We start from the raw sequence: 26,407 nt of genomic DNA on the forward strand, positions 1-26,407 counted from the left end.
CTCGGGAGGCTGAGGTGGGAGGATTGCTTGAGGTGGACATTGCAGTAAGCCAAGATCACAACAGCTGCACTCCACCCTGGGTGACAAGTAAGACCGTGTCTCAAAAAAAATAAAATAAAATTTCAGGTGTTCTGGTTTACCACTGCTGTCAGATTTCCATGTACTTTATTTCATATTGTACTCCTTAATTGGGGTATATCGGAAAGAAACATGCCAATACACACACTGTATCCTTACTAGCCTCCAAACAAGAGTGTTTTTAAGCCGGGCGCGGTGGCTCACCCCTGTAATCCCAGCACTCTGGGAGGCCAAGGTAGGCGGATCACGAGGTCAGGAAATCAAGCCCATCCTGGCTAACACAGTGAAACCCCGTCTCTACTAAAAAATACAAAAAATTAGCTGGGCGTAGTAGCGGGCGCCTGTAGTCCCAGCTACTCGGGAAGCTGAGGCAGGAGAATGGCGTGAGCCCGGGAGGCAGAGCTTGCAGTGAGCCGAGATCATGCCACTACACTCCAGCGCTCCAGCCTGGGCGACTGAGCAAGACTCCGTCTCAAAAAAAAAAAAAAGAGTGTTTTTAAAAGGATAAGCTTATTCCCAGAACTGTCTGAAGAATACTAACATTCCCTTTTGTGCTTTTCCAGCAGTCCCAAAGAATTCATTGTCCTTAAGTCAAACCTGGATATATATGAAGGTTGATTTGGTCAGTCGTGTGTATCTACCTTCTCATTTGCTTGTTGGCGAGTAGAGCATCTCTGGCTCTTACACAGACTGAATGTATAAGACTCTGGGCCATCCATAACCTTCATTATTTTGACCTTCCACATTTTCTTTCTTCTGCCCTTTGTTCCTTCCTTCCTTCCTTCCTTCCATCCATCCATCCATCTTTTCCTTTCCCTATTTTGTATTTAAATGCTTTTGTACTGGCCAGGCACAGTGGCTTACGCCTGTAATCCCAGCACTTTGGGAGGCCGAGGTGGGCGGATCACGAGGTTAGGAGTTCAAGACCAGCCTGTCCAACATGGCGAAACTTCATCTGTACTAAAAATACAAAAATTAGCTGGGTGTGGTGGCGCACGCCTGTAATCCCAGCTACTCAGGAGACTTAGGCAGGAGAATCACTTTAACCTGGGAGCCGGAGGTTGCGGTGAGCCAAGATCACGCCATTGCACTCCAGCCTGGGTGACAGGGCGAGACTCCTCCTCAAAAAGAAAAAAAAAGAAAGCTTTTGTGCTAAAATTATCAAATCAGATTTTATGGCCTTGTCATTGGGAATGAGGGATAATTAGCCTGATTTTCCTATGTCCTTCTTTATTAGTAGTCCTACAAATGGATAAAATGTCTTTGATATTCTTAACTGTGTTACTCCTTGGTAATTTACTTTCTGTAGATTTCTGACTGCTATTAATAGTTTTATAGTTTATGTCTAAGGCTGTTTTGCTGTTTTTATTTGAAGAATTCCAAGGTATAAAAAGATTAGTTTGACCAACAATTTTAATGAATAAATGTGGTTTTTTTTCTTTTTCTTTTTTTTTTTTTTGAGACAGAGTCTCACTCTGTTGCCCAGGCTGGAGTGCAGTGGTGTGATCTCGGCTCACTGCAAGCTCCGCCTCCTGGGTTCACACCATTCTCCTGCCTCAGCCTCCTGAGTAGCTGGGACTACAGGCGCCTGCCACCACACCTGGCTGATTTTTTGTATTTTTAGTGGAGACAGGGTTTCACCGTGTTAGCCAGGATGGTCTCAATCTCCTGACCTCATGATCCGCTGCCTCAGCCTCCCACAGTGCTGGGATTACCGGCATGAGCCACCGTACCCAGCCAATAAATGTATTTTAATAATATGACAGATTGTATTTATTTGTGCTTGAATGAGTGAAAAACCTGCTTCCTTTCATGATTTTTGAGAACAGTGTTGTCAATAATTTGCCCACAAAACTGCTGAGATTTTGTAAATGGAAGTCTAAGGGAAAACATTAAGGTCTCCAGCTATCTTTGTGCGTGATACTAGGGATTTTAAAAGATAAATGTGATAAACTATGTTTAGTTTTAATAACTCAAGTTAGTGGCAGAGTTTAAAAAGTAAGCCTTTTAAAAATAAAAATGTTATTTATTTTAGAAGATACCTCCTGAAGTTAATTGACTGTGACACTTGCTTAAGTAACTCCAAGACTTGAATTAAAAATTTGCATTACCTTCCTCTAAACTGAGTTTAAGAAATCACATAACAATAATTTACTAACATTTTTATGACTCTTTAACATTTCAGAGCCTTTTTATAGACATTATTTGTTCCTCAAAATAATTTCATAAAGTAAGTTCGATGAGCAATAGTAGTATTCCCATTTGAAAAATAATCTGCCAGTGGGGCACAGTTGGTAAGTGACAGAATTGGTATTTAAGTCTGTCTTTGCTTTTCATTATGAAGAATTTTAAGTATATAATGACTTATTTGGTACATTCCCATGTACTCATTATTTAGTGGGTATAAGCAGTGCTTAGCTATTTGTATTTGCTATATTTGCTTTATCTTTTATTTTGCTATAGTATACTATGAAGCAAATCCCAGACATTTAACTTTTACCTGTGAGTATTTTAGTGAGTATATAGCTCTAAAAAAGGACATTATCTCAATAATCCCAATACCATTATCATACCCACCAAAATTAGCAGTAATTTTTTTAAATATCACCAGATACTCAGTTCTTATTTAAATTTCTCTGGGTTATCCCCGAAATGACTTTTTACAGTTGGTCTGTTTTTGAATCATGACATAAAACAAGACTCATGGTATTAGTGGTTATGTCTCTTAAATCACTTCATCTACAACAGGAAATCCCACTTTCCTTTTCATTCCATTGACTTATTGAGGAGACCAACAGGCAGGTCTTCCGATGTTTAATTCAGTATTCCTTCTGTTATTCTAAGCTGCCTCAAATGTAAGTTTTAAATCTAAGTAAAGAAATGAATAAAATAAATAAATAAAATAAGTAGAAGACAATTCTATGCCTGGTCTATAAAATAAAAATATAACTTTTCGTTTTAAAGAAGAGGCCCACTGAGTAGTTTATTGTAACTAAAATGTTGCTGTAATAGCTAATTTCATAAGCAGCTTTAACGTCAAAGCATCCAAAAGAACTATGTTCTTGTTACTTTTATGCTTGTGTAACGTTTTTGCTAAATACAGTCAATAAGAATGAGGACGATGTAAAGAAAGCCTAGTCTTTGCCAGTAACATAGGTGTAGTCCAGTTTTTCTTTTTGACTGACAGGAGAAATATAAATGGTAAATCTTAATTCTGTTACATGTTCTGTTGTTGTATATAACAGGAAGCTTTCAGGCATTTGTTGTTTGTAAATACTTCATCTTTATTGCTCTTACCAATGAGCAGCTATTAAATATTCATTCCATAGTATCAACAATAATAGTATTGATTTCTAAAAATTAGTATGTTTCATCCTTGTGTAACTCTCATGCCCTTATAATCCATCTCAGTGTTACCCTAGACTAAACTCCCAACTTCCAGAAATGGCAACAACAAACAATAGGGGAGAAGGTAGGAAGAGCTGAGAGTTGTCTGAGCTCAGGGCAGTGGAGGTTAGAACTGTCATAGAGCTTGATACATGTTACCCTGTGGCTTATGGCCTGGCCCATCAGGCCTGGTTGACACCCGGTAAGGCTTAGCATTTTTTCTTACGGTTCTCTACATTGAGAGACATTAGTCATCCCATGAGGATGCATCACTGTTGTTTTGCAAACCAGCATTGGCAGAAAGAAGGACTTCAATCTTTTGAATACATCTACCCTAACATTTTCATCTCTGTACCTGCAATATCCTTGTAGGCTGCCTTTCAAGGAAGTGTATGAAGAGAAAGAGAAGGCGTGGGGGAGAAAGGCAGCATGGGTGAATAAAGATGCATTCTTTCCAGATGCTCAGTTGCACTGCCTCTCTTTGTGCAGTGTTCACTGAAGGATTTAAGGATGAAGCATAGGAATCTGCTGTGTGAACTAATTCCCTGGCTTTTCCTAATGGTGTGTAAATTTCTCATTCCCTAAGGCACAGTATTATTTCCAGAGTTTTCTTTGGTTTTCATAACTAGTTTTTCTGAGTTCTGTCCTCAGAATATAGTAAATGGAAGAAATGAGATGAATCTACAAAAATGCTTTTTAAAACCTCCTCAAAAAATTATTTACACATAAAATAATTAAATATTTTGGCTCTTCTGCAACCTATTGGTTAAAGTACATCTTTAATGTACAACTATAACTAAGTTATAACTAATTGTGTCCTTATATTTCAAAGACAGGTACTTGTCTGTCTTCTCTCACCCCAAAGGAATGACTACAAAGTAAAGGAAATTGGTTTAAAACAAAAAGCTTGAGATTTCAGAGAAAGGAACATTTACATAATAGCATATCTCAGCCTATTTCTTGAAATGCATTGTTTCTCTGTAGCTCTCTTTCCTTTTTTTTTTTTTTTTTGGCATGTATCTAGTGTTAAGAAAATACAGTGTAGCAGCTGTTTATGTACAGAATAATACCACAGTGGATGGGTAAAATCTCACTTGCTAAGAACCTAAGTACTTACCTATTTTAATGTTGTACAACCTCACCACCTGTGCAAGGGCAGGCCTCATTTTTAAGAGTCTGATCATGTCACATAATCTTGATGGAAGTAATTGTATCAACGGTTCAGGAAACTCAAACGGCCTCTTCTTCATTCTCCTTTGAATGGGTCAGTGCTATTAAGGGCATTGCTGAGAGAAGCAGAAGGTGATTTTATTTCAAGAGTTATTGATTCATGCTTCCCCTGTTTTGTTTCAGGTGGATCATCCATGCCATGGAGTATGAACTTCAGATCCGTGGCGGAGACAAGCCAGCCTTGGACTTGTATCAGCTGTCACCTAGTGAAGTTAAACAGCTTCTGCTGGATATTCTGCAGCCTCAACAGAATGGAAGGTAATAAGGGCCCCTTGTTACCTACATGATACTCTGGATTTACAATAACATCATAATTTTTAGCTTGATATATCTATGAAATTGATAAGATATTAATAAGTAAAATTCAACAGAGTGTCAGAGGCCACCCCACTAGATGGAAAGTGTAAACAGAAAGACCAATCAAAATGTCTGTCTTCAATTATTATTTTGCATTGATTTGAATTTTATGCTTTTTTTCCAGTATAGTTTATAAGCATTTCTTCATTTTTATTATTCTGTGCAAAATGTAACACCTCATACCACTTTCTGAAGTCAGTTTCCTTTCTGAACCTTTGTGGCACTCACCATCTCCTCCCAGCATTTTGGCAGATAGGATTGGGTTTGGTAACATTATTTAAATATGTTGCCTGTGACTTTGTCTCCCTAAATAGACTTCAATGCTAAACCCTTTCCTAGACTTGTGCTAAGCTTACACTAAGAACAAAACAAATACTTGTGGATTGTGTTGACTTGAAGAACTTTTTTATTACAGAAATAGCTTTAATGTAAGTATTTAGGAAAGTATTTATTGAGTACATTTGTGCCTGGCATTTACCAAAGTGGTATAGTTATATGCCTAGAAAAATCTGCCTAGGCCTTTTACAAAAGCTGTCTTCCACAAAAGGAAATTTGAATAAATGGAAAGGCATCCTCGTTCTTAAATAGGAACATTCATGTTATAAAGATGTCAGTTGTAAATATAATTCAATTCCAATAACATTCAACTAGCTGTTTTTATGAGGTTAAGACAAGTTAATACAAAACTTCATATGGAAAAACAAACATAAGAATAATCAGAAAAACATAAAAGAAGGACTTGCCCTGCTAGACATTAAAACATACTATAAAGCCTCTGTAATTAAAACAGTGTGATATTGGTGCACAACAGACAAATAGAAGAGTTGAACAGTATAGAAAGTCCAGAAATAGACCCCCAAGTATATGTGGAAATTTAATGTGTGACAAAGGCCAAGGATGGACTTTTTAAATAGTGATGAGACAACTGGATAGCCATTTGCAAAAAGATATAATCACACCTGTAGTTTATACCACACATAAGAATACACTCCAAATAGATTAGAAATCTAAATGTAAAAATGAAATAATAGAAAACAAGAAGACATGGTTAAATTCCTTTTTACTCTTAGTATGGGAAAGACCTTCTAATAATGACTCAACCCAAGGACAACAAAAGAAAAAGTTAATAAGACTATATGAAAATTAAAAACAACACTTTGTATGGCAAAAAGTAGACAACCAATGTCAGAAGATAACTGAGAAACTGGAACAAAACATATGCCACAAAGAGCTTATAACCAAGAATTCTTAAAAATTGAAGGACAGACAACCAAAATCCCAAAGGAAAATGGGAAGAAACATTCTTACATACCCATGAGTCTATGCTAATATAAATAGACAAATGGGAGTGAAGAGACCTTTCTTATAATAGAATTCCAATTATAAGTGTAGATAGGATGACAAAAATAGACAAATACAATAGTTACCATTGTTGCCGGCAAAAACCATCATTGCATGGAAGTATGATGAAAAATGGAGAGTTTCATCATTCCAATGTGTTTCCACTCAAGATGCTTAAATTGTAAAGGAAAAAATAGTGATTTTACAGTGGAGAAACCCAGCTGACTCTACCTTAACCAAAAGATTAAGGTGAACATCGCCAGTAATAAGACACATCAAAATCATATATCCCCTGATATGATGCATTGAAAAGGGCATGATGGGCCGGGCATGGTGGCTCAAGCTTGTGATCCTAGCACTTTGGGAGGCTGGAGCAGGAGCGTCCTTTGAGTCCACGAGTTTGAGACTAGCCTGGGCAACATTCTGAGACCCCATCTCTATAAAAATAATAAATAAGAAAAGTGCACAACATCACTTCTAGATACTCTTGCCAAAAATGCATAATCTCAGTCTATTCATCAGGAAACATCAGACCAACCCAAATTGAGGTACATCTTACAAAATAACTGACATTTCTAAAGTGTGAAGGTTATGAAAGATAAAGGACAACCAAGAAACTGCTAGAGGAGCCTCAGGAGACACGGAAACTAAACACCAATTCTGGATTGGATTCTGGATCAAAACAAGAATATTAGTGGTAAAATTGACAAAATTTGAATTAGATCCATAGATTAATTAATAGTATTGTATCATTGTTTACTCCCTGGTTTTATACTATAGTTATGTAAGATAACAAGAGTAGAGGAAGGCCAGGCACGATGGCTCACACCTGTGATCCCAACAATTTGGGAGGCTGAAGCAGGCAGATTGCTTGAGCCCAGGAGTTTGAGACCAGGCTGGGCAACATGGCAAGACCCCATCTCTACAAAAAACACAAAAATTAGCTGGATGTGGCGGCACATGCCTGTAGTTCCAGCTACTCAGGAGGCCGACATGGGAGGATCACCTGAACCCAGTAAGCTGAGGCTGCAGAGTCGAGATTGCACCACTGCACTCCAGCCTCAGTGATAGAGTCAGATCCTGTCTCAAAAAAAAAAAAAAATGGAAAAGGGAAGTTAAGTAAAGAGTATACAGGAACTTTATGGTTTATATTCATGACTTTTCTGTAAGTCTGAAATTTTTCAAAATGAAAAGACAAAAAATAAAGGATCTTTCAAAATAATTTTCTACCTCCATTATGAGTATTCTCATGTTTCTACTTTTTCTGTTGTCCTACGAAGTATCTCCTTTTTAAAGTATTAATCATAACTTCATATAACTCCAAAAACATATTTTTTAATTGCCAAACAAAGGGAATGAGGGGAAAATAAAATGCAGGCAGTGGGGTATCCAGTTATCTAAAGTAAAACATCACCAAGGAACCCTTAGACGTTTGAGCTTTGTCACTTTGGTGAAACACTAAAGCCAGCAATGCAAGCCCGTGCCTATTAAAAGAAATTTTATGTATCCAAAAATAGATGCCCCTCTTACCTATGTAGTGATAAATTTTCATTGGTCCTCTTTCTCCAGCGCAAACGTGTCTTTTTCTGTTTACTGTATCCTGCATAGCTATTGTCATACCTAGAAATAGTGTTGGTCATGACATATTTCCCTTGTAATTGAGTATACATTTCACTCTGCTGTCTTTTAAAATACTAAGTGTAAAAAACGTGTATCTGGGCTGTGTGCCGTGGTTCATGCCTATAATCCCAGCACTTTGGGAGGCCAAGGCAGGAGGATTACTTGAGGCCAGGAGCTCAAGACCAGCCTGGACAACATAGCCAGACCCCATCTCAACAAAAAATTTAAAAATTAACCAGACATGGTAGTGCATGTCTGTAATCTTAGCCACTGGAAAGGCTGAGGTGGGAGGATCGCTTGAGCCCAGGAGTTAGAGGTTGCAGTGAGCTATGATCGAGCCATTGCACTCCAGCCTGGGTGACACAGCAAGACCCTGTCAAATAAATAAATAAATAAATAAATAAATAAATAAATGTATCTGTCCTTTCTTCAACTTTTGCAAGAATATTTTTAGCAGTTTGTGAATGATGTATTGTATCTTTAAAATTTAATACTTAAGTGCTTAATGCATGAAAATAAAAGATCTAAAATTTTGGTGTATCACTACATTCTGTTATTATAATGTAAGATTTTATATCTTTTTTCAGCAAGAGAACTTTAGCTATGTCTAAATAGCAAACTTCTATAAGGTTTAAAATAAGGTAATTTTATTCTATATAAAATGCTTTTTTGAACATCATTTATTCATTCACTTTTTAAGTGTTTACTAAGCACCTTTCTGGGAGAGGTGTATAGGACTGATCAAATTATATGATTTCCATGCCTTCATGGAGCTTACATTTTATTATATGTGAAAACAACATCAAGTTATTATGAAATTCACAGCTGCTGCGTTTTTAAAGGGAGCTGCTCTGTATACTTGAAAATCATTTGAGCATGTAGTAAGCAATTCATAGCTTACTTACAGGATAACATTTTGTCTGTTAAATTTTTTAGAATCTTGGAGACTTCCTCCTGTCCTGCCAGCCCTGTTTTCATTATGAAATATTTACTAGCCTCTGTAACACACGGAGATATGCATCATTGATGGGCTTTGGCTTTTATTTCTTACCCTATCAGAACAATTAGTTCATATTGAAAGCCCTGCTGTCTACCAGAACAAGCTTGTTCTTCAACTCTGAGACATTTGCCTTTTGTTACAGATGTTGGCTGAACAGGCGTCAGATCGATGGGTCTTTGAATAGAACTCCCACCGGGTTCTATGACCGAGTGTGGCAGATTCTGGAGCGCACGCCCAATGGGATCATTGTTGCTGGGAAGCATTTGCCTCAGGTAAAGCCCCACCATGTTCACATAAAGAAAGGAGACTTCGCAAAGGGTAGTGAATCCTTTCCTCTTGCACTGCAAATAACTTTTCTCCTTTTCAGCGTTCTAAGAGTATTTTCAAAGAAGGAATGAAATACTAGAAAATAAGACATCTAATCAATTGGATTGAAAATTTTTTTCCCCAATCTGAGTTACTTTTATTTTTCAAATTTAGTGTCCCTGTAGGCAGAAAAGGCTCACTTTACCAAATGGCTATATTGCTGGAAGTCATATTTAATAAAAAAAATTGTTGGTATTGTCATATTTTAGATATTTTGAGGATATTCCCTTTTTAAAAACCACATAGCCAAACCTCTTGTTGAGCAAGCTGTCCTTCCTTTGTTTACTTACCAGCTTAGAGTTTCCTATATTGGCTTTACTTTAAGTGTGGGTACCCCTTCACTACCCCCAAGTGGTGGTGGGTCAGTGCTGGGGGGCCTCACAAACAGTAAAGCATGCATTGGAAAGACAGAACCAGAGCAGACCTAAGAAACAATGGGGCCTAGTAGTGCTGTGGATGAGGAAATCACCACTTAGGAATTGTGTTGAATGTGGAAAATGCAGTAACTTTTTAGGTCATTGGACAGACAATCACTTACTTCACTCCAGGTGTACCTTACCTGTGGTCCAAGTGAGTTAGTGCCCTCTCCTTCTGATGGTTTCCCATGTGATATACACTGGCCTGCTTCTTTGATGTGATTATTTAATCCTGGCATCTAAGTCATTCTACTTATACACAAAAGAGAAGGATTAGCCTTTTGGAAATAGAGTACTGTAATTGTTTTTAGTGTTGAAATCTCAACCAAATAAATTTTGATGTAGTTCTTTATACAAATAAAGTATTCTCAAAGGCACAGACCCACACTCATTTTGCTTGTATCTACCTAAGAGTGTCTCTGTAAGGACCCATAGGAAATTGGTAGTATTCTTTTCTTAGTCTTTGGTAAAAGGAACTGTGTGAGTGGGAGGATGGTGTGGGCTCTTCCCTGGAACCCTTTTAAACCTTTCAAAGTCTGAATGCTGTGAATATATTACTTATTAAAAAAAATGCATAAAAACTTTTAAAAAGTATTTATACTGTTCACAGACTGCAAGTAGTTTCATTTGACTGTCAGTGCAGGGCCCAGCCCTCTCCTGGGTGCCCTATGATTACTGTTGAAGAGCAGCACCATCTCTTGAGAGCAGAGAGCAGCGCCTCGTTGCTGGAGTTCAAACCCTCTGGCAAGGCCTCCTGTCTGCCTACCTGGGCAGTGCACGCTCACAACCACTTGTTAGCTTCTTTCTCAGCCCCCACTAATACTTACCAGATTTTCATTTAATTGTCTGGCAGTCTGGGCCACTTAACATGTAGTATCCTTGCTTTGCTAATATCCTCTCTTTGCTAAAAATAACAATAAGACAATAAATACATGTTAAGTATTTTTATGCACCAAGCACTTTTCTAAGTGCTCATTTAATCCGTTAGACAATTTTTTGAGGCAGATGCTTTGTTATTAGTATTCCAGTTTGACAGAAGAGGACACAAACACAGATAAATGATTTCCTCAAGGTCACACATCTAGTAAGTAGCTGCCCCAGGATGTGACCCCTGGCAGTGTAGCTGCTGAGCCTTTTCTCTTAACTTCTCTGCTACACTACTTACCCTAAGTCCTTTCAGAAGAGTAGGAAATAAGGCAAGCTTGGTATCTCTTCTGTAGTTGCACAGTAGCTAGGTTGACTTTTTTAATGAGATATATTAAGAAAAAATTAATGTGAAACCAAGAAAGGGTCTTCCTTTCCTTCTGTAACCCCGTTAAGCCCATTGCTAGAGATCTAGCCAATTATAACTGTGTTTAGCAATGGGGCTTTATTTTCCCCAAATTAGGTACTATCTGTAAACATTAATAATATGTTGGATTATATTGACTATGAAATACAATAGTTAGTTGTATTGAATATCTATTGAATATAGACTAAGGCATTATTATACCAGGCTGAACAACTTTGCTGTCACTTGATTGAAAGAGGACATTGGGTCCCATTTTGAGTGGTAAGTAGATAGACATGGTTCTGAACCTGATTGAGTTCACTGTAAACTATCACTGAGGTGAAAACAAGTATGTCTCATCATTTCTGCCTCTCTGGTAATGATCTAGTCACCCCATCTGCCTTCCACCATACAAGCCTAATGTTCAGAGCCTTCCCTTCCATCCTCTGAGGAATATTCCCCATGCCCAGATTTGGATTTTAATTTTAGTTTATTTTCTGCTTTCATTTGGATTGTGAAGAAATGAATGGAAAACTACACAGTATTCTTGTTTTAAATGAAAGATAAAGGGCAGAGTAGAGGAAATTCTTTTAGCGTCGCTTTTTTCCTGTTTCCTTCCCAGTTCTGCACATAATATTGTTTTTGCTTGTTTGTATGCATTTTTATGCTGCCAGCTCAGAAAGGAGCTGCCACAGAAATGATGTAAATTCATTAGCAGGTGACTTCTGTGCGGGAGCCTGACAGCAAGCATAACTTCTCGTGTAAATTCTGAAAGCAATATGTACACTATTTGTTGTCTCAGTGTTTGGCTATTCCTTTTGTGTATTAAAGTGGCCTTCTAACATAGTCCTTTTTCTCAAAAAATTAATATAGTGAAGGTAACTACTAAAAATGGGAGGTTTAATTTATCACAATAGTCAGCTGGTTGGCTTTAGTAGTTTGACATATATAAAATCCAGTTGTGTAGCTGAAAATGTTCTCCAAGGTTTTATAAAAACTGAAAACTATTAATGATTAGAAAATGAAATTCTTCTATTAAATGAGAACCAGAGCATAACGGTTCAGCATGTTAATGTGGAGTTATTTTTTTCAGCAACCAACCCTGTCAGATATGACCATGTATGAGATGAATTTCTCTCTCCTTGTTGAAGACACGTTGGGAAATATTGACCAGCCACAGTACAGACAGATCGTTGTAGAGGTGAGTAGTAAGAAATGAAGATTGCTGAATAAATGCCTTCTCTCTGCTCCGTGAAAACTAGTATAAGGGAAACTGCCTATGAGACCCAGAATCCTATTCTTTCCAGTACCCCGATCTCTCCTGTGAGACCCAGAACCCTATTCTTTCCGGAACCTTGATCTCTCCCAGCCGAGTCCTCAAGAAGATGGCCACCCCTGACCCAAGGCAAGGCACACGAGCAATTCAGACACCTCAGGCTCCTCCAGGAAGGGAGAACCGACCCCTGCTTTTCAGCCACACAATCACCCCTTAGCATCAAGTGTATCAGCCACATCATAAAAGTACAGGAAGTGACCTTTTTCTATTCACTTTCTTTTCTATTCACAGAAATAAGCACAACTATTGTAGAAAGTTTCAGCAGTTTAGAAAATTATAGAAAAGAATATAAGTTTCCCCCACACTCACTAGCAAGAGATCATTGCTGTTAATATTTTGAGGGACATCTTTCTAGACATCTCTATGTGCAGAGAAGACATGTCATTGCATGGTGTATCACTGCCCTGTATAAAGTTACATGTAAAATTAACAGAACACATGTGTCCTTTTGTCATGTTAAACATCACCCCAAATACATAGAGAAGCCACCAATTGATGAGTTTAATATTTAGCTTATCCGCACTTTGTCTCTTTCCCTGGGCATGTATCCATCCGACTTTTGTGTTTCTCAAGGGTAGATAATATGTCTTATTGCTACGGAAGCTCTGTGTGACTGCCAACCTGGACATGGCACCTCCTAAAATCTAGCATGTCTGGAGCTGCAGTCAGAGCTGAGTAGATTTAGCCTCCTCTTTGATGTCCCAGGATGTGGAATAGTATCAGCCAATCATTTTCACAGCATGAGGCAGACTGGGTCGTGAAAAGACGGGGTTATTAGGCAGGTGAATGCCTTCCATGTCTAGTACCCAGCATCTGGGACATATAGTAGACATAGAGATCCTTCTTGTTGACCACAGTGAAGTCATTCCCTTTGCAGAAGACACTTTCCTTTAGACCTACAGCAAAACTTCATATTCTCATGGCTAAAGGCCTGCCCTAAGGTTTCCCACATTGTGACCCCTGGATTTTACTGTGTTTCCTTTGGTTCTTTCAGGTTCTGTTTTTGAAGCATCGAGATAAAATACAGTCAATAAGAATCCAAAATTGGGAACTATGAGGCGTGTTTCCTGTTCAGTGTACAAATTAGGAGCCATAAACATCATCAGAGAGCCTTTACCAATTATTGCATATGCAGATATTATTTTTGCTTATAGGAATTTAGCATCTAAAATGAACATTACCACTTAGGATAGGTGTATGTGATGGCCAAGCAATAGGGTGATTCATTAAACTAAGATAGTTTATACAGACCAAATAGGACTTTTGTCACAGGGGTCAGAGTTAAACATATTTTTTTAAAACATGGCCATCCCTTGAGAAACTACTGTGGCATCACAGACTTATACTCATTTGGGTCCTGGGCTCCAGGTCGTTTGATCCTGAACCTGGGTCCAGAGTCTCCATTGAACCTGCCTGGCTTCTCTGGCTTTGGTCCCTGACCCGTCTCTCCACAGACAGTGTTTTGGTGTCTTGCCAACAAGGATTGACACCCAAAGGCCTAGAAAGAGTTCAGACACTTTGGGTGAATAGGGTATCATGTATTATGTACATGATGGGTTAGGAAAGTCATTTTTCTAAGTTAACGGTTTTATTTAACTGATGAAAAAACATTTCTAGGGATACACACAATGAAAAAAAAGGTGCACTTTCCAAACAGAATTTATGCAAATAACTTGCAAAATTAGGAAGATTCCTTCCATAGGTGATCCTTGAGCCCCTCATCATATAGAATATCCTTTGGATCACCCATCCATCTGATCAAAGGGTGAAAACATGTCACTATTATGGTTCATATAGTTGGCTTTCAATGTCTGTCTCTTCTAGTTACTTATGGTTGTATCCATTGTACTGGAAAGAAACCCCGAGCTAGAATTTCAAGACAAAGTAGATCTAGACAGACTGGTCAAAGAAGCATTTAATGAATTTCAAAAAGATCAGAGTCGGCTAAAGGAAATTGAAAAACAAGTAAGTACACAGCTTTTTTTTTTTTTTTTTTTTTGAGAATTTTTTCATTGTCTCAATTCTTTAAAATATCCCTAATCTCTTTTCATTTACTTTATAAAACAGATTCACAGGTGCAAAATAGGATACTTGAGGGGCAGTCTGCCTTTTTCGAGGAATTAATGTTACTTTTCAGTTAATTACTAGTCAGTTCAGCTGTGAAGTTCTGACAAAAAAGAGATCTAGAAAGAGATAAATTTCCTTTATATGGTTAGCATAAAAATGTTTTATCAGAGAGGAGGCATAGACTCCAGAAGGCTATAAAATTAAATTCTGGGGACAATAGAATGCAGTGACAGGCTACGTTGGTGCTGCGTACTGCCTAATATAGGCCCTTCCAGGTTCTCTGTTTAATATTTTATGTTCAACTGTAAAGAGGTTCTCTAAGTAAATAAAAATTATCAACAAAGGAGAGAATACTAAAAATATCTGTCTTTGTTTTATATACACCTCAGGAAAATGAAAGAAAAGCTCAGGAATCTCATATTTTCCATAAGGAAATCTTTATGTGAATTTATTTTTCCCCCTAAGCTGACACAGATTTTACCTGTCAACTCTTTACAAACAGAAGATCGAATGCCTTGCCTACTGTTTTCCTTTGTAGGATGACATGACTTCCTTTTACAACACTCCTCCCCTGGGAAAAAGAGGAACATGCAGCTATTTGACAAAGGCGGTGATGAATCTGCTGCTGGAAGGAGAAGTCAAGCCAAACAATGATGACCCGTGTCTGATTAGCTAGTGGGGAAGGTGTAGGAAGCTCTGTTGAGACACATGTTCTGAAGTGTGTTGTGTTTCATGTTCAAGCTTAATCAAGGCAGCCATTAATATACGAACTGAGCATGCTGGGGAGGTGAATGCCACATCCTTGGCGGGGTTATGGACCTCTTGCATGTCATAGCCAATCTAACGGTAATGGTAAATGCTTTTAATCAAGCAGGAAAAAGTTCTCATGATTATGCCAACTATAATAGTAATCCTCACTGAGTGATAAAAATAGTTTATGAATTGAAAATTTGCCGCTGCATGTTGTATGATCAAATAGTTCATCAAAATGAATCTTTGCTCTTTGGACTGAATTCTTACCATACTGCCATTAAAATAAATTTGCCAACTAGTAATGCATACTGGAAATCAAAAGATACTGAAAGAATGGTGAACTTCTCTTAGTGGTATTGTCATGCTAAAAGATGTTAATATACATCATAAAAGCAAAGTCAGCCAGCTGATATTTTGGTTCTCAAAAACTGCATTATTAATAATATTTTAGTATACAGAGCTATTCTACAGTTTTTACATTGTAAACATGACTGTGGTTTTGTATTTGCTAAATATAGGGGTTGGACTAAAATATAATAAATCTGTACCTTATCAAACATTTTCTTTGAGCTCCTGCTAAAAATAGGACATGTCTATGATTGTTCAAAAATATGTTAAATTTAGGCTCAGCACAGTAGCTCACACCTGAAATCTTAGCACTTCGGGAGGCTGAGGCAGGTGGATCACTTGAGGTTAGGAGTTCAAGACCAGCCCAGCCAACATGGTGAAAACCCTGTCTCTACTAAAAATACAAAAATTAGCCAGGCATGATGGTGCATGCCTTTAAACCCAGCTACTGAGGAGGCTGAGGCATGAGAATTGCTTGAACCAGGAGACGGAGGTTGCAGTGAGCTGAAATCCTGCCACTGCACACCAGCCTGGGTGACAGAGCGAGACTCCATCTCAAAAAAAAAAAAAAAAAAGAAAAAGAAAAAAATATGTTAAATTTAAGGACTGTTAACCTACGTTCTACTAGTAAAAACAACATTAAGGGTCATTAAATTTTATTTCTGAATTAATGAACATATCTGGACATTTTTTGTTCCTAGGTTCACAAGATTGAGCTTCAAACTCCCGAGTGTTTTCATTTAATTGATTTAGAGGTAGAATGGAAGAGAATCTGTGGTACCTACCATTATACACATTTAGTTGCCCAGTTTACTTAAACTTTAATGAAAGTAGAAAGTAGATTAAACATTTAAATTTTATTTCTTTCCTAAATAGAAAAAAAAAAGGCCCATGAGTTTGAGCCCTTGCCCCAAAGAGAGTTGTTTTTCTGATCAATCTTACTGGAGTTTCACCTGAGAAGATAGATTTGTCACATAAAAAATGCAGCTTATTTGTAGTGTTTTGAAAGGATGTAAGAAAGGATGAGTGGCTTCAGTATTGAGTCAATCGATATCAAATGAATGGATGTGTGAGCACATGGAAAAATCTGCTGTCAGTCACATTTCTCATAACATTGAGGTACAGTGCCGAGATCTTGCATAAGAAATTGTATGGATATTAGTTGGCAAAATTGAAATGAATGAGACACAGTTGGGCCCTAAAGAACTAAGGAGGGGGATTGACAAAGAATAGAATTAAACTACTTGACTCAATATGTTAAGAGAGTTTATGAAAAGATAGTCGTGAAGGGTGAAGCTAATTTGTAAAACTAATGCCTGAAAAAAACGTAAGCATGAAGTCCATGGAGAGGGAATTGAGAGCTGACACTTCATAACTGGAGAAACTGGAAATTAAAGAAAGGGAAACAAAAGACTTAAAATTTTTGTTTGCCGAAATTTTTACGAAAGTAAACTGTGTTGTAGTTTTAAGAATTTTTTTAAAAAATCTGATTAGCTGAGCAAAGTTACCAGAAAACTGCTATCCTAGTTGAAATCAAACATTACTTGCAAATGTGTTTTCTGAGTGTTAGCTTCCTGCTTAAATGTTACATATGCAAAATTCTGAAGTTTTCCTGTGCTACTCCTGAAAGCATTCAGAATCTGTGACACGTATTGACTTCATGCTTTGAGATTCAAAATTTATTGTTCTGAAAGTTATATTTAGAATCAGTAAATCTTGATATTCACCTTTACAAAAGCCAATGCCTGTTTTCTTATTAGAAAAGCAAAAAATAATAAGAATTAGAACACAGAACTCATATGAAATTTAGAAGTCTCATTTGGTCTACAGAGCCCAAATGTTTTAACAGCTGCACTAGAGACCGACTGGAAATATTAGCACATTTATTTAGGCATGACAAGATTTAAATCTGATTTAAAGCCTCCTCTATCACAATGGCAGATTCACTGCGTAAATTTATTGTACAAGCAACGTCTGTTGGAAACTCCTGACTGAATATCAAGTTCAACTACATTTTCAGAGCATCATTTTAAGAAACAGGATGTTTTCCAGATTTTCTGCTGTTATTTAAGCCTGAAAACATCATATTTCAATTTTTAAAAATTAAAATGGGGAAACAATCAATGATGAAAACCACATGATTATCTCAATAGATGCAAAAAAGGCCTTCGATAAAATTCAACACCCCTTCATGCTAAAAACTCTTGATAAACTAGGTATTGATGGAATATATTCAAAAAAATAAGAGCCATTTATGACAAACCCACAGCCAATATCATACTGAATGGGCAAAAGCTGGAAGCATTCCCATTGAAAACTGGCACTAGACAAGGATGCCGTCTCTCACCACTCCTATTCAACATAATACTGGAAGTTCTGGCCAGGGAAATCAGGCAAGAGAAAGAAATAAAGGGTATTCATATAGGAAGAGAGGAAGTCAGACTGTGTCTGTTTGCAGGTGACATGAGCCTATATCTAGAAAACCTCATCGTCATCTCAGCCCAAAAGCTTCTTAAGCTGATAAGCAACTTCAACAAAGTCTCAGGATACAAAATCAATGTGCAGAAATCACAGGCATTCCTATACACCAACAATAGACAAGCAGAGGGCCAAATCATGAATGAACTCCCATTCACAATTGCTACAAAGAGAATAAAATACCTAGGAATACAGCTAACAAGGGGAGTGAAGGACCTCTTCAAGGAGAACTACAAACCACTGCTCAAGGAAATAAGAGAGGACAGAAACAAATGGAAAAACATTCCATGCTCAGGATAGGAAGAATCAATATTGTGAAAATGGCCATACTGCCCAAAGTGATTAATAGATTCAATGCTATTCCCATTAAACTATCATTGACATTCTTCATAGAATCAGAAAAAAACCTACTTTAAAATTCATATGGAACCAAAAAAGAGCACATATAGCCAAGACAATCCTAAGCAAAAAGAACAAAACTGGAGGCATCACACTACTTGACTTCAAACTATACTACAAGTCTACAGTAACCAAAACAGTATGATCCTGGTACAAAAACAGACACATAGACCAATGGAACAGAATAGAGATCTCAGAAATAAGACTGCACATCTACAACCATCTGATCTTCAACAAACCTGATAAAAACAAGCAATGGGGAAAGGATTCCCTATTTAATAAATGGTGCTGGGGAAACTGGCTAGCCATATACAGAAAACTGAAATTGGTCCTCTTCCTTGTATCTTACACAAAAATTAAATCAAGATGGATTAAATACTTAAATGTAAAACCCAAAACTATAACAACTCTAGAAGAAAATCTAGGCAATGCCATACAGGACATAAGCATGGGCAAAGATTTCATGATGAAAACATCAGAAGGAATTGCAGCAAAAGCAGAAATTGACAAATGGGATATAATTAAACTAAAGAGCTGCTGCACAGCAAAAGAAACTATCATCATAATGGACAGCCAGAATAGGAGAAAACTTTTGCAATCTATCCATCTGACAAAGGTCTAATATCCAGAAGCTACAAGGAATTTAAACAAATTTACAAGAAAAAACAACCCCATTAAAATGGGGGCAAAGGGGCCGGGTGCGGTGGCTCACGCCTGTAATCCCAGCACTTTGGGAAGCTGAGGCGGGTGGATCACGAGGTCAGGAGATCAAGACCATCCTGGCTAACACAGTGAAACCCCGTCTCTACTAAAAAATACAAAAAATTAGCCAGGCGTGGTGGCGGGCGCCTGTAGTCCCAGCTACTCGGGAGGCTGAGGCAGGAGAATGGCATGAACCCAGGAGGCAGAGCTTGCAGTGAGCCGAGATTGTGCCACTGCATTCCAGCCTGGACGACAGAGCGAGACTCTGTCTCAAAAAAAAAAAAAGGTGGGGGGGGTGCGAAGGACATAAACAGATACTTCTCAAAAGAAGACATTTGTGCGGCCAATAAACATATAAAAAAAAGCTCAACATCACTGATCATTAGAGAAATGCAAATCAAAACCACAATGAGATAACCATCTCACACCAGTCAGAATGACGATTATTAAAAAGAAAAAACAGATGCTGGCGAGATTATCAAGAAAAGGGAACCCTTATGCACTGTTGGTGGGGGTGTAAATTAGTTCAGCCATTGTGGAAGACAATGTGATTCCTCAAAGACCTAGAACCAGAAATACCATTTGACCCAGCAATCCCATTACTGGGTATATACCCAAAGAAATATAAATCATTCTATTATAAAGATACCGGCACACCTATATTCATTGCAGTACTATTTGCAATAGCAAAGACATGGAATCAACCAAATGCCCATCAATGATAGACTGGATAAAGAAAATGTGGTACATATACACTGCAGAATACTGTGCAGCCATAAAAAGGAACAAGATCATGTCCTTTGCAGGGACATGGATGGAGCTGGAAGCCATTATCCTCAGCAAACTAACGCAGGAACAGAAAACCAAATACCGCATGTTCTCACTTATAAGTGGGAGCTGAACAATGAGAACACATGGACACAGGGAGGGGAACAACACATACTGGGGCCTGTCAGAGGGGTGGGGAGGAGGGAGAGCATCAGGATAAATAGCTAATGCATGTGGTGCTTAATACCTAGGTGATGGGTTGATAAGTGCAGCAAATCACCATGGCACATGTTTACCTATGTGACAAGCCTGCACATCCTGCACTTGTATCCCAGAATTTAAATTATTTAAAAAATCAGAATGTGGGATCAACTTGATGTCATCTTCAATATGTTATAAGCCTGTGGTGCCTTATTCACACCAAATAACATTTATTGGACACCTGAATACATTTAGCTTTTCACCAAAACTCTTAAACAGTAAATTCAGGGCCAGGTGTGGTGGCTCACTCCTGTAGTTCCAGCCACTCAGAAGGCTGAGGCAGGAGGATTGCTTGAGTCCAGGAGTTGGAGGCTGTAGTGAGCTAGGGTCACACTATTGCACTCTAACCTCGGTGAAAGAGCAAGACTCTTGCCTCTTAAAAAAAAAAAACAGTAGATGCAGATGCTTTAAGCCTTTATGAGCATGTATATTAAATAGATGGCATATGAAAGTGCATATTCACACTTCACAATGTGGCAACAGTTATAGCAGCACAGAAAGACCACATTTAAATCCAGGACAGGTTGGAAGTAGCATATAGCAGTATGCAGCCATATAATAAAAGTCCTCCGTCTCAGAAACTAAAAACATGAATGAAAACTGAGGCAGAATGGACCAGCAAAACCATACCGGCAGCATTCAAACAAAGGAAGCGGGTAGTACAGCCTCACACCATAAACTCTGAAAAGCAGCAGCGGACAAAAGACCTACTAGAATTAGAATTTGGCTCCTATACTCTGGCTTCCTAGAAGCTGTGCATGGGCGAGGACAAGGTTAGTTAATTTGTGAAAAATCAAATGCATTTGGAGGGAATCAGATGCCTGTTGAGTCGGCACTTAGGGGAAAATTCAGAAAGTGTTTCTCCAAGGTGGAAGCTCCTCCCCCACCACACATAACATCATCCGGCATCATATAGCAGGGCTACTGCCAGCCCACGCTCAGTCCTGTGTGTGAGTGAGTGGCACCTTTGTACAGAGAAAGGTCCTTTCTCTGAGCAGATGCAACCCCACACCAGGACACATGGCTCAGAGTAAACTGGATTTCAGCCCCCAGCTGCATTCTCATTGGCTCCCTTGTGCAGTGCACTGACCTCATGACTGTCTCAGTCCTGCTCCCCAAGGAACGGAAAGCTGTTGGGAGTGGCATTCTGACTCTGTCTGGGAGGGAGGCAGATGAGGAGCAAGGTTCCCCAGAACTCACTGTCTCCAATGGCAGGTGGTCTGGGAGCTGGTCCTGACCTGGTTCTTGTTACCTGAGAGGGCGAGGCTTATGAGGAGTGGTAATTGGAGTTGACTGTCCCCTCTTCTTATTATTTCTGTAATGTTGTTTTAAACTGGACAAAATTCACTCTGTCTAGTCCAGGGCATATCCTGTTTCCAAGGACAGCATCTTCCAATGTGGGTGGTTCTGCCAAACAGGGTAAACTTTTTCACTTGTGACAGAAATGCTTAGCCTCAGGGATAAATCCCACCTCCTTCACTCCCATCTCTCCAGAAGTTGCTCCTCCTCTCCTCCTAGACAGGGAGGAAAAGTGGGGGAAACAGGTGGCTTTGGGGCTTTCCTCCTCACGGGAGTGGGGAACTTAGGGCAGGGCTGTCCGTCAGTCCCTTTCCCCTCTGCTCGGTTGGTTCTTGTGCTGGTACTTTTTGAGTTCTCTGTCCTCTGAGGACTGCATATTCCTGACTTGTGTCTTATTGTCTAAGAGGAAGGGACTCGGCTGGAAGCAGCTTGGAGAAGACCAAAGAGTTCAGGTTGGGTGGGAGAGTTTCAAAGACCACCCACACTGTAACTGGGGACCCACAAGGCTGCTGTGCAACCATGAGAAAGATGCAGAGAAACTGCCCATCAACTATTTTTTGTAGAGACAGGGTCTCACTATGTTGCCCAGGCTGGTCTCTTACTCCTGGCCTCAGACGGTCTGCCCACCTTGGCTTCCCAAAGTGCTGGGATTAGGTGTGAACCACCATACCCAGCCTTATGCCTGTAAACAATGTAAATAATGCTACAGGAAAAAAAGAGATAGATATAGAACCCATTCTGAAAGAAAATTTACTCTAGGAAATAGAACATCCTCCACATCAAATGCCCTATAGTCTAAAAGAAATTAAAGAGAAAAAGGATCAATGAAAAAACAAGTCAAAGACAAAATGAGACACTACAATAAAATAGAAAGGAAACTTAGAGCTAAGGACATGAGTTTCATAAATTAGAAACAGCAAAGAACAAAATACGCACAGCTAAAAATTGAGTTGCCAACACACAGAACCCTTGAGATAATTCAGTCAAGTGCTTATTGAGCATCATCTATATGCACCTGACGCTGTTCTGGCACAGGGTTAAAAACAAACAAACAAAAAGACAATCCCCCGTCCTTGTGGAGCTATGTTCTAATTGGGGTGAGGACATAGGTGGTATGTACTGATGATAAATGCTATGGAAGAAAATAAGGCAGGATGAGGAGGAAAGAGTGACAAAGGTTATTAGATTTCCTGGGGTTGTGGGAAGGCCTCTGATCAGGGAATATTTGATCAGATGGACAAAAAATAGAGATGGGGGTAAACAAGGTTGATCCAACATAAAGAAAACTGGTAGGTAGAGAAGGATACGAGACTGGCACAGAAAAAATTCAAGTAAATGATGTTTTCCCTAAATAAATAAATCTGCAGATCAGGAGAACACATCATGTTTCAGAAAAATTTAATACAGAATGAGCAACATTGAAACATACATTGGGAGAATTTACTTGGAGAAGTTTATGCCAAAAAAAGTCATCTATCACTCAATTTCTCCACATCAGTTCAATGTTGTACAATGTGACCTGAGATTTTTTTTCCCCAAATACTTATAAAGGCAAATGAAGAATTCTTAAAATATGCAAGGACTCAAGAATCATAACACCTGCAAGCCTCTCTTGAAAATAATATTTGACGAAATCCAGTCAACCAAGAGAATTGATGTGAAGAGTATAGTAACCAAGAAGACACAAAACATAAGAAGTAATTATGGGCTGGGCGCAGTGGCTCATACCTGTAATCTCAGCGCTTTGGGAGTGCGAGGCAGACAGACCACTTGAGTCCACGAGTTCAAGACCAGCCTGGGCAACATGGCGAAACTCTGTCTCTACAAAATAAACATTTAAAAATTAGCTAGGTGTTGTGGTAGGTGCCTGTACTCCCAGCTACCAGGGAGGCTGAGGCAGGAGGATTGCCTGAGCCCAGGAGTTCAAGGCTGCAGGGGGCTGTGACAGCACCACTACACTCCAGCCTGGGCCACAGAGTGAGACCCTGTCTCAAAAACAAAACAAAACTATGAACTATGACTCCATTAAAATTTAAAATTAATAATGAGATTTACAGTTACAGCAAAGAATGTAAAAATGAAAAACAAGCTTCACAATTTAAAATAATATAACTAATGGGCTGGGACAAAAATCCTAGAGCTTGTTGACAACTCAGTAGGGGCTGAGCGGCCAGTGTAAGTGAGCTAATTTCCTTGTCTTTCACAGCAAGAAGTCAATATTCACTTTGTTTTTTAAAGTTAATCAAAATATTAAAAGTTTTTAAAGTTTATCCTTTAAAATACAAAAGTGGCCAGGTGGAGTGGTATGTGCCTGTAGTCCTAACTACTTGGGAGGCAGAGGTGGGAGGATCACTTGAGCCCAGGAGGAGTTCAAGGCCAGCCTGGGCAACATAGCAAGACTCTGCCTCTAAAAAAAAAAAAAAATTAAATTTTTAAGTAATTTTAAATTACCAGAAGGGGTGAGAATGCATCACAAAATTGACCATATAGCTCAAGATAAAAAAATAGAGAAATGACAGTCTCCAGATCCAATATAACTGGGATTCTCCACTTTAATATCAGACGGCATTGAATTAAAGGTAAAAAAAAAAGTGTGCATCTGTAACAAGAATGTAAATGGCCTACATCTCTATACAACACAAAACAGCATTCTGGCAGAAACTGCTAGCTGTCCACCAAAACCTATTCTCCCCTTGCATGACCCAAAATTATAGGTAAGTATATAGCCGTTCAGATACACCCTGCATTTGCTTGGGATTTCAATGGAATGTGAGCAGAGGTGAGTGCCACCCCAGGCCTGGCCCATAAACCTTCCTGCCTGCCCTCTGTGCTTGTCCCTTTCCCCGTAGGTTGGAATGACAATGACCAAGGTGATGGCATTGAAGATGGCCACACGGCTTCAGCCCAGCCTCCTGTGAGGCTGTCTCTCTTTTCTCCACACCCACTCTCCCTACAAGATCAGCTCTCATTGACAATTGAGCCAGGGTTCTAGCAGAAGGCAGAAACTGTATCCCACTTATCTGGATGGAAAGAATTCAAAGATTTGTTTAATTCGATCTAAAATAGGAAACGGAAAGCGTAAACTATTATATTTATTTGGGTCAGGGAGGCAAGGGTCTACTTGTTCTAGCAGTTTACACAGTATAAGTATCAAAATATATAAAGTGGGCAGGTGCAGTGGCTTGAGCTTGTAGTCTCAGCAACTAGGGAAGTTAAGGCAAGAGGATCACCTGAGCCTAGGAGTTTGAGGCTGCAGTGAGCCATGATCGCACTGCTGCACTCTAGCTTGAGTGGCAGAGAGAGACCCTGTCTCTCAAATAAATAAATACATTAATTAAATATATACACACACACACATACAAGTACCTGCAAATCCAAAGAGAAACAAAAACATAATCAGAGGGAATATAACACCTATGACAAATAAAATCCATGAATATAAATAGTGATATAGAGGAAGGGAATAATATGTAATTATTGTTACATATTAATATATAAATATTTAATTCCATATCCAAACAAAGATTCCATTTAATTCCATATTCAAACAGATTGTATCTTCTATTGCCCCTGAGACATTTCTTGAAACTGATCATATTTTGGGTGCCAAAGAAAGCCTCCATGCATTGCAAAATTAGAAATAGTACAGATTGCATTCTCTTATGTCAAACAAAAGAAAAAAAATCTACAGTTTAATATCCAAAATAGAAAAAAACAAAACCCAACCTTTTGGAAATTTTGAAATTCCTTTCTAAATTGAAACCAAAACTAAAATTTCAGAATATCTGGACTATGATCGAATTTCTATATATAAGATGGCTAAAACCATATTCAGAGAAGAAATCCACAGCTTTAAATGTCGTACTAAATAAGACAGAATGGAAATAAATTGACTAAATGTTAATTTCAAAAAAAAAAACTTAAAATTATGACAAAGTAAACATAAGCACAAGAATGAAAATGATAAAGTGAAACAAATTTAATAACAGGAAAACAGAATAAATCCAAGATCTGGGTTCCCCCCAGTTTTATTAAGGTGTAATTAACAAAAGTTATATCCATTTATGATGTACAATGTGAAATGAATCGAGCTAATTAACATATCTATCACCTCACATTTTTTAATGGTGAGAACATTTAAGGTCTATTCCTTTAGCAATTTTCAAGTAGACATTAACTATTTAGTCCCCAAAACCTGTTTTTTGAAGAAACTGTTAGATAGCTATACCCCCAGTCAGCCTAATTGAGTAATGATGGAGACTAATAATAGCTTTGAACACCTAGTATACTACGTGCTGGGCTTAGTGCCCTATGTATATCAGCTCTACTTTATAAGGTAAGAACTATTATTCTCATTTTGCATATGAGGAAACTGAGGCACGGGGTTTAAGCATTTTGCCCAAGGTCTCACAAGTAGTAAATGACTCAACAGTCAGATTCCAAGTCACCAAATTAGAGCTCAAAAGAGGAAGTCATCACAGATGTAGAAGACATTTTAAATTTTAAATTTAAATGATACATAGTAACATTAGAAAATTCTCAAACTTGTGACATGACTGCCTCAAAGGTGCTTCATGAAGAAACAGGCTCATCTGTTTTCCAAGAGCTGAGAATCCCGGGGTAGGGCTGGAGCGACCCGCTGTCACCCGGCCTGTGACCCCGTTTACAGTAGCCTTGGCTCCTCTGTGACAGGTACGGTATCTTGTGGAAAACAGAATGGGGGCAACGGGGAGCAGCTTCCCTAAATGAGGAAGCTGGCAACCTTGCGGCTCTGAGAGAAGTGTATTTATTCTGAAACCTGGCTTAATCCTTTCTTGCTAAAAGATTACCTGAGGCATATCTGACAGAAAAAGCAGACCCCAGTTCCATCTTGTGGAAAGCACTAAGAGCTACTAAATAAGCCCGGACATTCCCAGCATGAGTGTATTTCA

General features: G+C 38.6%; 1 protein-coding gene across 3 annotated transcripts in view; it reads left to right on the plus strand.

The window, feature by feature from the left end:
* PHKB (phosphorylase kinase regulatory subunit beta) overlaps positions 1-17,301 on the plus strand; it is a 240,225-nt gene extending 222,924 nt beyond the window's left edge. For all 3 annotated transcript variants that reach the window (NM_001363837.1, NM_001031835.3, NM_000293.3), the window contains 5 exons: positions 4,819-4,953; positions 9,156-9,285; positions 12,159-12,266; positions 14,226-14,366; positions 15,007-17,301. In NM_001363837.1, coding sequence (NP_001350766.1) covers positions 4,819-4,953; positions 9,156-9,285; positions 12,159-12,266; positions 14,226-14,366; positions 15,007-15,144 — 652 coding nt within the window. In that variant the 3' untranslated portion in view covers positions 15,145-17,301. The remainder of the gene's footprint in view (positions 1-4,818; positions 4,954-9,155; positions 9,286-12,158; positions 12,267-14,225; positions 14,367-15,006) is intronic.

The sequence above is a fragment of the Homo sapiens genome, chromosome 16 (assembly GCF_000001405.40).
Source record: "Homo sapiens chromosome 16, GRCh38.p14 Primary Assembly".
Taxonomy (NCBI): Eukaryota; Metazoa; Chordata; class Mammalia; order Primates; family Hominidae; genus Homo; species Homo sapiens.